Source organism: Homo sapiens, chromosome 10 (genome assembly GCF_000001405.40).
Source record: "Homo sapiens chromosome 10, GRCh38.p14 Primary Assembly".
Taxonomy (NCBI): domain Eukaryota; kingdom Metazoa; phylum Chordata; class Mammalia; order Primates; family Hominidae; genus Homo; species Homo sapiens.
The window spans coordinates 50,201,328-50,213,442 of NC_000010.11; the positions used below are offsets into that span (position 1 = coordinate 50,201,328).

General features: G+C 35.0%; 1 protein-coding gene across 2 annotated transcripts in view; it reads right to left on the bottom strand.

Annotated features, from left to right (window-relative positions):
* The window catches only part of ASAH2 (N-acylsphingosine amidohydrolase 2), a 66,656-nt gene that overhangs the window by 16,467 nt on the left and 38,074 nt on the right, over positions 1-12,115 (bottom strand). The window contains exons 10-16 of one of the 2 annotated variants that reach the window (NM_019893.4): positions 11,645-11,731; positions 9,703-9,807; positions 9,496-9,577; positions 4,655-4,770; positions 3,534-3,628; positions 2,313-2,352; positions 1,502-1,597 (exon numbers count right to left, since the gene is read on the bottom strand). In NM_019893.4, coding sequence (NP_063946.2) covers positions 1,502-1,597; positions 2,313-2,352; positions 3,534-3,628; positions 4,655-4,770; positions 9,496-9,577; positions 9,703-9,807; positions 11,645-11,731 — 621 coding nt within the window. The remainder of the gene's footprint in view (positions 1-1,501; positions 1,598-2,312; positions 2,353-3,533; positions 3,629-4,654; positions 4,771-9,495; positions 9,578-9,702; positions 9,808-11,644; positions 11,732-12,115) is intronic. The other variant, NM_001143974.3, reaches the window with a different exon arrangement.

The window sequence follows — 12,115 nt, forward strand, 5'->3', positions numbered from 1 at the left end:
CAGACAGCAAAGCTAAAAAAGTGCACTGTATGTAATACATGCCCACTTGGGCTTCTGGAGTAGCAGGCACCCATACCTAGATACTGCTGCAGGGACCACATGGAATTTGCTCCTGCCAGCACCCAAAAGCACTTACCTTGGCTCCTGCACCTGCCTGTCTGTATGCTCCCCTTCCCATTAAGGGTTTGAGCATATACAGCAGCCAAACAGATGAGCCACACCCCTGTTGCACATACTGCAGGGGGGTTCAGGGAACTTTCCCATCTCACCTGGACCAGGAGACAAGCTAGTAGGGGTTCCTAACCTTGTTTGTGACATGGACTCCTTTGGCAGCATGTTGAGACCTAAGGACCTCCCTCAGAATAATGTTTCTAAAGGTGTAAAATAAAATACATGGAATTGACAAAGGAAACCAGTTAGGTTGAAATATATTTACCATACTATAATAAACCAATGTTGTGATACAGTAATGTATGTGCTTCTTTATTATGCTATTGAATAACAAGATATATCTGTGGATCTAATAACTATTGTGATTATAAAATAGCAATAAGAGTAAAAGACATTTCTAGACCTGCAATCACTGTATGTGATATGAAAATATCTGTGGTGCCTATTGGTGACAGAGGTACTGCTAAAATAATTTGTTTGTTTCCTATATTTATAATTGACTGAAATGCTTAATAATAGTTAGAGGTAGTGAAGAAAGGATGTAATTCTTCCTATCCAAGTTTAGCATCATTAAGATCCCTTTTTCAATGGGAATTCCTAGAAGGCAGGGACCTTCAGGAAAGCCAACAGAGGGTAGCAGGGCAGAGTCTACTCTTAGTATCACTGAATATTTACCAAGGGGTAGACTGTATGCCTCTGTATGCACTGCTGTTATATACCAGCAGATATATTATTAACAGAAATTATTAATTATGAGACTCTGGACTGTTTTCATGTTTTACTTAAAAAGTACTTGGGCTGCTTTCTGGACTATTTATAAACAATGAAATATTACCAGCTACCAGCCTCCCTCAAACTCTCTGGGACTCTGTTTCTTGATATATATCAATATAATAACACCCTACTTCTGGATATACTGTGAGGATTACTTTAAATAACATTTGCAAAGTCTTAACCAGTGCATTCAATAAACAGCTACTAGTAGGAGTTTTCTCCAGTGCTACAGAGGCTTAAGGCATCAAATGCATTAAGAATAGTGTTAGAAATGTTTTATGCCACAACCCAGGCTTGTTACCAATGCCCCTGACAAAATAATTAATTTCAGGGAAAATGTAAGTCAGTAAAACTAGAATTCTGACCTGGACTTAAAATGATGTATTTGAAACTCTTAAATACGGCCTCTGGCTTATCATCCTCTTACCTGTTATACCTGAAACATAATCATCTCTCAGAAACATGACTGGGAAAGTTTACAAAGCAAGTCTGCATTTGACACAATAGTCTTTACTGGGGTATAATTCATTTAAATGATGAAAACGTTTTGCTTTACCTGGTATTCTTCATAAGTGGTAATGTAATGTGTATAGACGTTGCATAGACCTGAAATAACAACAGTCATGTTCTGCATCCCATGAGATGCAAATTCCTAGGAGAGAAAGGTAAAACCCAATAAAATTACTCTTCATCTTTACGTATATTTTCATTCTGTTATCCTTAACACACAAGCATTGATTACACTATTAGTTTAAGATATTTTTCTTAATAAAATTTTTCTAACTCTGCACTACAGTTGGACAAGTCAATGGATCTACAAATACCTTGATGATCACAGTTGCAGATGTAGAAACTTCTTACTACTAAAATAGGGATTTAAAAAATCAACTTATTACAAAATCTAATGGGTGGCTATTAGCTAACCAGAATAGTAATTTCCAGCGCTAAGTAACAAGACATTTTTGACATGTCATTTTAGAACCATTTACAATACTGCCTGAATATAAAGAAAATTCAAAATACAGCACAGATAAAATACAGAATTCCCAAAATGTAATACATTTTATTTAGACTGTTCACAGGAATTTAAGATATTGAGGTACTTAGAGGTTACTTAGTATTTAATGTATACAAACATTATCAAATTTTAAAATATTAATACATAAATACCAATAAAATATTTTTAACCTAATGATAATGCCCTTATGTTTTTTAAGTCTGGTTCTTATACTACCAATATTTCATATTAACCTTAGCCATTAATTTCAAGAAATGTGGAACTCTAGATATAGGATCATAGGGATAGGATATACTTTCCTCTTCACCAAACATGAACATGTAGATATGTTATTTTATTTTTAACTTACTGCTTGAACTGCCTCTCGAAGTCTTCGTCCAGACATGGTCCTGAGTCAAGAAAAAAATTATGTAAACGTTTTCCTACTAGACGTATGCAGAGTACACAGAAACACTGGCAGTGAAAGCCAAAAAATTACCCTGGCTCATCACACAATAGTAAAATATGTAGGAACCCAATGACTATGAAAAGCTAAACTTGAACTTTTTTTCTGCCTGTCCTAGCTTCAAAATAAATCCTAAACTGAAAACAGTCAATTTGACTAAAAGAAGGAAACAGAATCAGTGGTTATCACTGGCAAAAATCATCATTATTTTCCATTCTTGAGTCAACAAAATGATCAGTTGCAGTCTATGTTTATAAAAGCTGAGGTAGGTAGAAAATACATTACTGTATAAGTGTAATAAAGCCAATGTGGCTGAATCAGAGGTGAGTAAAGGGGAGAGAGGTAAGAAATCAGATATGAGAGCTTGATGAAGAACAGATCATGTAGGAGCTTGCAAGTTTGAGGATTTACCTGGAATGAAATGAGAAGCTACTGGAGGGTTTTGAGCAAAGACATGTTATTATTTAATTTATACTTTAAAGGGCTTAATCTAGCTGCTGTGTTGAGAAAAAAAAACTGCAGAGGAGTAAAGGCAGAATGAAGCAGACCAGACAGCAGGTTATTTCAAAAATCTGTGTAAAAGATCGTGGTAACTTAGACCAGGAAGGGAAGTGACAGAAGGTGTTGGGTAGAGTGTACAAAATTTGCTGAAGAATTTAAAGAGGAAGAAACAGAAAAAGAGGGAATTCAAGGATGACTCCAAGAGATAGGACCTGCTGGAAAGATATAAAATTGCCAGTTACTGAGATAGGAAGACAACATATCAAGGAGTTTTAAAACATTCTTCCATGCTTTTAATACCTAATCTGATTATTTCAAGTACCTGTATTTTAATATGACTGCAAATCTTTCTACTGATATAATAACTCATGGCATCATTTTAATTTGGGATAAGTTTTTTTTAATTTTCATGTCTGCCTCAGGTGAGCCATCAATAATAAGCATAGAGATAGTTATTCTTCAGAGGCCCCAGCAAAAGAGGGTAGGAATATTTGCCACTGTCACCAAACAGTACAGTAGGATACCAAGGGGTCAACACAGAATGATCTTTTCATGATAAGAAGCAATTCCAACAGAACATACAACAAACACATTTTTAACTAAGTAATAAAAAGAAAAACTTACGTAAACTCCCCGGGGATGGCAGTTATGGCCAAGGACCCAAGGGTAATAATCTGAACATCAACAATGTCTGGATGCCAGGGGTGAGGTTTTGATAGCTGAGAACCCAAAACAAGAAAATTATGTTAGGGATAACACTCTCTCTATGGTCAACAGACATATAGTGGTCCCAGAATTTCCTCTAGTTTCTAATTTATGATGTAGTATTAAATATTCTATATGGGCATTTATGTCCTAGTCATAACATGAGAATTTCAAATGCCAAAGCCCCATTAACCTGCAGAAATCAATGAAGTTTTTGGTGGATCTGTCATCGTGAAATCACAATGTGTAACAGATAACCAAACATTTTCCTAGAGTACTGTTGGTGACTATTCTTATACACAATAAATAAGGAATTCCATTTGGAATAGTTTAACTTAATAATTTCTCTTTTTATTATAATCGCACTTTAAGTTTACAGTTTCCAAGTCTTACTTTATTTTCCAAGATTTCTCCCAAGAGAATTTAACCCTTTCCTTATTCAGAATACTATAGCCTGTCCCTCTATTCCTTCCTTTCCTCTCTTCTTTCAAGAATTTTAATAGGATATTAGGGAAAAATGTATTTTTAAAATGCTTCTAACTCAACAATCCAAGTTTTTATGAATACTGAAATGACCTTTTGACATTTAGAATGCAAAATATATGTTTCAAAGGAGTGTAAAAGAAAATTGCTTTAGTTGATAATGTTGCCTGAACTGTGAGAAAATTTAGACAGGAACATGTTTTGTTTTAGATGACCTGAAATATTTTCTTCTGCAGAAAATTTGGTGCTGACTCCCTTCTTGGAACCAACAAAAATAAATTCTGAGTAAGATAAATGTTCATCTTATTCTGCCTTTCCCACTGTCCTAATTGTTGTATTTATTAATCATAAGTGCAATAGGTAAATCAATATAATTCATTGCCATAACCTTCATTCCTTAGAGTCATGGAACCCATTTTTTAATATTAAAAACTTGATATGGGAATATCTAAATAAGACTTCCCATCTCAGTAGATATCTACCATTCATTACCTGACAGTTCACATATTTAAAAATAACAATATGCTAATTTCACTATGATAACGAAAATGCATTACTTCTCCGGTGTGAAGAAGGATGGGCTTTGGTTTATGACATTCTTTAATTTCTTCAGATGGCTTTCCCAGGATCTGGTCCCGAATGGTGTCCCAAAATGGATCCCCTTCTGTTTTCCCTATTAGAAATGTTATAATTAGTATACTTCCTTGAACCAACCCTCTCAAAAAAGTCATTATCTTGACAAATATTGTACAATAATCTTTTAAGGAGTTTCAGAGATTTTATTGAGGTTGTTGTTCAATGATTCCAAACAGTTTGAGTAATAGAATAGGAAAAATGTCCTGTGCATCCTAAGACATGAGCCATTGTTTAATTAGATCTTCAGTGTGGTCAAGAGAACGACAGAGTATATTTTGTCAATGTCCTTAAAGTTTTGTTTCTATTACTCCTGCTCATTCATGTTGCAAATAAAAACAGTTTGACATAATTAACTGCAGATTTGTGGACTAAATCACTTTTTTCCTGTTTTGAAAATGAAAAATTACGCCTCCAACTCACAATACCAGTTGTCTGACTTATGGTCCCTGAAATAATTTCTCCTGAATTTAGTTATCTACACACACACACACACACACACACACACACACACACACACAAAGCAGTAAAAAACAAAAATAAACTTCATATGCATAATCTGGGGTAAAAGGTTTTGTAACTATAAAACTTATGAATTAAGAATCTATACTCTATTCAAAAAATGTAATAATTATAAATGTCTGTGTAACATAAACTGAAAACTCACAGAAATGAAGAAAGAAATACACATTTCAGTAACAATACTGAAATTTTCAATAACCCACTCTCAATCATGGATAGAACAACTAGGCAGAAGATCAACAGAAAACTTGAACTAGACCTACCAATCTATAGAATACTCCACCCAACAATAACAGAATATACATTCTTCTCACGTGCACATGAAATATTATCTGTGGTAGATCATGTGCTGGCTAAAAGACAAATCTCATTAAATTTTACAAAGTAGAAATAATACAAAATATGTTTTCCAAATACAGTGAAATGAAATTAAAAATAAAGGAAAAAATGGAGAAGCTTGCAAATATGCAGAAATTAAGCAGTATGATCTGAAATAGCTAATAATCAAGGAAGAAATCAAAGGAAAATCTGGAAATACTTTATCATGAATGAAAATGAAAACACAACACATCAAAACTTATGGTATGCAGTGACAGCTGTGTTCAGTGAGACATTTATAGTTGTAAATGCCCATATATTAAGAAAGAAGAAAAATCTCAAACCAATAACCTAACTTCCACTTGAAGATATTGGAAAAGGAAAGCAAACTAAATCAAATGTTGAAAAAGAAGGAAATAATCAGTATTCGAAAGAAAATCAATTAAACAGTGAGTAGAAAGAAAACAGAAAAATCAATGAAACCAAAAGCTGGTTTTTTGAAAAGGTCAACAAAATTGGCAAAACTTTAGCTAGATTGACCAAGAAAAACAGAGAGAAGACTTAAATTATTAAAATCAGAAATTAGAATATTAATACTGACTTTAAAGAAATAAAAAGAATTATAAAGGAAAACTATAAGTAGTTGTACGCTAACAAATTAGATAACTTAGATAAAATGGAAAAATTTCTAGAAAGACAAACTACCAAAATTGACTCAAGAAGAAATAGGCAATCTAAAAAAAAAAAACTATAAAAAGTAAAGAGATTGATTCATAACACATTTTTAACTACTTACAACAAATAACAGAGCCAGATTGCTTTACTGCTGAATTCCACCAACCAAAGAATTAGTACTAGCTTTTCCAAAACTTTTCCAAAATAATAGAAAAGGGAACACTTCCTGATTCATTCTATGAGGCCAATATTATCCTGATATAAAACCAGACAAAGATATCACAAGAAAAGAAAACTACAGAACATTTTCTCTGATAAATAGGACACAAAAACCTACAACAAAATACTAGCAAACTGAATACAGCAACACAGAGAAAGAATTGTTATAGAACATGACCAACTGGGATTTATTCCAGGAATACAAAGTTGGTTAAACATTCAAAAACTGATTAATGCAGTACAACATATTAATATAATTTTTTAATTACATGATAATCTGAGCAGATACAGAGAGAAATATTTGCCAAAAAACTAATACCATTTTATGATAATAACACTCAACAAACTAGGAATAGAAGTAAATTTCCTCAACCTGATGAAGGATTAAAAACCCAGAGCTAACATTATAGTTAATGATGAATGACTGAATGCTTTTTCCATACTATTAGGAACAACACAGAATATACACTCTTTTTACTTTTATTCAACATTGTTCTGAAGGTTCTAGGCAGGCAATTAGGCAAGAAAAAGAAATAAAAGGCATTCAGATTGGAAAAGAAAAATTAAAACTATTAATATTTCTATTTTAAGATGACATGATCTTGTATAGAGAAAAATCCTAAATCATCCATTAAAATATTAGAACTAATAAATGAGTTCAGCAAGGTTGTAGGATATAAGGTCAATACAGCTATCTGTTGTATTTCTATACATTTTCTATGAACAATCCAAAAATGAAATTAAGAAAAAATTTCCATTTACAATAGCATAGAAAAGAGTGAAATACTAAGAAATAAACAACAAAAAATACAAAATTTATTTTTTGTATTTGTCTTAAAATTACAAAACATTGTTGAAAAAAATTAAAGAGGGTCTAAATGAATCCTAAAACATCTATGTACGTGGATCAGATTACATAATATTGTTAAGATGGCAATACTCCCCCAAATTAATCTGTAAATTCAATGATATTCCCATCGGAATCCCAGCTGACTTCTTTGTAAAAATTTACAAGCTGATTCTAAAATTCCTGTGGAATCTCAAGAAATTCAGAAGTCAAAACAATCTTGGAAGAGGAGGACAAGGTAGAAAGACATACTTTCTGATCTTAAAGGAAACAATAACCAAGAGACGGTTATACTGGCACAAGGTTAGGCATATAGATCAATGGAATAGAATTGATCATCCAGACATAAAGCCATGTGTCAACTAATTTTTAACAAGTGTGCCAAGATTATAGAATGGGTAAATAATAATCTTTCCAATAAGTGGTGCTAGGATAACTGAATAGCCATATGCAAAAGAATAAAGGCAGGCCATTACCTCCATGATACACAAAGTTTAACTAAAAATGGATCCAAGACTTAAATGTAGAGCTAAAACCATAAAAATCTTATAAGAAAATAGGGGGAAATCTTCATGACATTGAATCTGGAAAAAGATTCCTATATATGACACAAAACCATGAGTAACAAAAGAAAATTTAGACTTCATAAAAATTAAGAATGTTTGTGCTTCAAATGATACAATCAATAAAGTGAAAAAACCTACAGAATGGAAGAAAAAAAATTTTTTTTGAGACAGAGTCTCACTCTGTTGCCAGGCTGGAGTGCAGTGGTGCAATCTTGTCTCACTGCAACATCTGCCTCCCGGTTTCAAGCGATTGTCCTGCCTCAGCCTCCCGAGTAGCTGGGACTACAGGCGTGCACCACCATGTCTGGCTAATTTTGTATTTTTAGTAGAGACAGGGTTTCACAATGTTGACCAGGGTGGTCTCAATTTCCTGACCTGATGATCTGCCCACCTCAGCCTCCCAAAGTGCTGGGAAAATATTTTTATATCACACATCTGATAAGGGAACGTATACAGAATACACAAAGAACATTTATACTCAATAATAAAAAGAAAAATAACCCAAATTTTAAAAGGAGAAAACTACGTAAATGACATTTCTCCAAGGGAGATATATATGTGGTTAATACGCACATGAAAAGGTGTTTGACATCATTAATTATTAGGGAAATGCAAATCAAAACCACAATGAGATATCCCTCCACACCCACTAAGGTAGCTAGATTCAGTAAGTCAGATAATAACAAGTATTGGCAAATACATTAAAAAATCAGAAAACTATACACTGCCTGTGGAAATGTAAAATGGTGCAGCCATTTCAGAAATAGTCTGGCAGCTTCTCAGATGATTAAATATAGAGTTATATAATCCAGCAATTGCACTCCTAGATATATACCCAAGAGGAAAGATGAAAACAAACACCCACATAAAAATCCCATGAATATTTATAGACTATTTATAGATTCATAATAACCAAAACATGGGATAACCCAAATGTTCATCAACTGAGGAAGGTTTAAACAAATCTGATATGTTGATACAATGGAATATTATTCAACCATAAAAAAAGAATGAGGCTGGGAGCAGTGGCTCACACCTGTAATCCCAGCACTCTGGGAGGCTGAGGCGGGCGGATCACTTGAGGTCAGGAATTCCAGACCACCATGGCCAAATGGTGAAACCCCATCTCTACTAAAAATACAAAAATTAGCCAAGCGTGGTGGCAGGTGCCTGTAGTCTCAGCTACTTGGGAGGCTGAGGCAGGAGAATAGCTTGAACTTGACAGGTGGAGGTTGCAGTAAGCTGAGATGGTGCCACTGTACTCCAGCCTGGGTGACAAGAGCAAAATTCTGTCTCAAAAAAATAAATGCATGCTACAATATCAATGAACCTTTGAAAGATGATGCTAAGTGAAAGAAGCCAACAAAAAATGCCACATATTATATGATTCCATTTGTATTAAGTGTCCAGAATAGGAAAATATGGAGACAGAAATATTAGTGGTTGCTTAGGTCTGGGGGCAGCGGGTGCGGTACATGGTCATGTACAAACCTGGAAAACCAGCAGACCCTGAGTTTAAAAATTAATAAATGTATTGGCTACAATGAAACCTGATCAGAGAACAGAACCCAGAAGCTTCAGAAGCTGAAACCATAGATTTTACTGGACTTCACCTTACCCTGTGTAAAATTGAGGCCTCCAACTCCATCAATAGTGCCAGCTGCAAAACTGTAGCCCAATGCTGGTTTACATGTTTTTGACTAAAGGAAAAGTTTTAAAAACAAAACAAAAATGAAAAAGACAAAAGTTAAACTGAAAGTAAATAATGAGATCAAACCAAAACTTCACCCTTGGGGCATAACCAGTGTGTCTCAGCAGCACTTACTGCATGTGTGGAATTGAGCCAGACAGTCACATCTGTCATATCCACCCACTGGTGTGCTGAAGCCAGTGGTCCTGTTACCTCCTGGGAGGCAGAGGCATAGAGTTCCTAGAAAACACACAGGCTTATTATTCCAAGCAAAAAGGCTAAAGTGATCATCTCCAACTGTACTCAGGAAGTACCAATTTGATGCAATTTGGAAATGCATCTCTCAGCAAAGCTTTTGTTTTGCTGGTTGCTTAGAATTGGCCACCAACCACATGGGTCTCTCTCTACCAAACCCAGGAGTTTCCCAAAAGCTTGAAGTCTCCGAGGCTGTTGACCTGTATCAACTCCCCACAAAAGTGAAATTATAGTGATACAGGCTGTGGCACAAAAGGCCTCAATCTCACTTGAAAGATCACCAAGAAAATTTAAGATTAGGAATAACTGGACCAAAATACTTTCTTTGCTAGAGTGAGAGTGTATCTTTGTGTGTTTTTATAGGGTCTTCCTTTCAGAATACTTGAGTCCTGCAGCAGGTTGGGGACAAAGGTGGCTTGGAAGACTTCAAGCCCTGCTTTGTCTGCAGCACTTCGCCCACCCACAATCCACTCTTCGGTGCTTTTGCTTTTGTGTTTTAATATGGTCAATTGATGCTTTTTCAATCTTATGGGAAACATGAGTGAAAACAAGTTTAAAAAACTCTTTGTTTTTATTAATTCGCATTATATAACATAGGCAAATCCTGTTTCATCAAACGTTCTCTTGCCTGACACTTAGCTCATTTCCACTCTGTCCCCACCCCAGTTTCAATGGCCACATGAGAGCTCTCATAAGTCATCAGCAAGACCAGCTGCAGCCTGCCACTCTTAATTAAGAGAGAAGTTGTGCCTTGCTGAGAAGAGAATGCAGAATGTGGGTCAAATCTCTATGACTCTCCGGCTCAGAATGGGAACAAAATTTCTGACACTAAAGTGTGTCATGGGTGCACACCCTAAATAGAATCTGTGAATTTAGAATAATCCACTGATAATACCACAGTAATTAAAAAGAAACTGCAGCGATTAGGCTGGCTGTTGCTACCAATTTTGTGTCAGATTGTTCTTTAAAGGTGCTTTTGTCCTTCCTTAGTTGCTCTTGAAAGATTTTAGAACCCTTGGAATAAACTATTTAAACACACACACACACACACACACACACACACGCAGCAAAGGTATGAATAAGCTATGAAAAGAAAGAGATTTAACCATATCAAGGACATCTCAGTTCGAGGTAATTTTTTTGTCTTTTTGCCTAGAAATATGTCTCCATAGAAGCTGAAACAAAATATGGGGACAAAATGGGAAATAAAATTTAGGAGGGGGAGGAAATCAGAGTAATTCATAGTAATCTCACTGGAGACCAGATTTGATGAAGAGAGCTTCATCAAAAAGTTTTGTAAAAAGAAAAGAATAGCTGGATGATCTTTGCATATTGAAGAACACCAGGAACTAATCTAAATCCAAGTTTCAAGAACTGGAGTTCTATGGCTCAGCTTTCTCTTGTCACCAAAGGAAAAGTTAAGAGATAGTTGGGTGACTTTTGGCAAGCAAAGGCCTTAAAGACTTCTGAGAATTTGAATCAATCTGGTCATATCTAATGCCACAAGAAATTGAAAATCTTATAGTCTATGTTCCTAGTGTCTAAGCAAGCACTCTGGCTTTCTAGACATTCTAAAATAGAATGTTTTCCTGATTACTTGGTTTTAAATGTACTTCCTATAAGAAGTCAGACCTGAGCAGTCAGACAGAGGTTCCCATGTGGATTGCAAAGGCCACCTCCCAAGCTGACCTCTTCTAGACTCCCCAGCACAACCTGAGCATTTGCTGTTTTCTTTAAGTATTCAACTTCCTAATGAACCAAGTCAATGGATTTTAAAGGACAATTTTAAACAAAGATTAAAGGAGCGAGGCCCATGGCTTACCTTTGCTCTCTGATACATGGCCCGTCCTATAATTTGTGTGCTGTCAAACATATCCTGTCCAGGTCCCTTAGCAATGCACATGCTAGGCTGGAACAAAATAAGATATGATGCATTCTTGGCCAAGTAAGAAATTATTTTAAGGAATAAAGAATTATAACTGAATCTAAGCAAATAGATTTTTAAAACCACATTCTTGCATTTCTTTTCAGGTAGTCTCTCAAAGTACAAACTATAAAAACAAAATCATACCTGGAATTAGAAGAGTGAATGTCTTTAGAAATGATCTATTCTGGAGCCTTTCTTTTAAAAATAAGGAAATTGAGGCTCAGGTTAAAAGATGTGTTGCTGATTATGCAGGTATCTAATATCTGAGCTAAGACTTGAAGCCAGGTCTTTCTATTGACTGCACATCTTTCTACTTGCTTGTTCTTGCCTCTGATTCTTACTCATGATCACCTTAAACTGAAACTC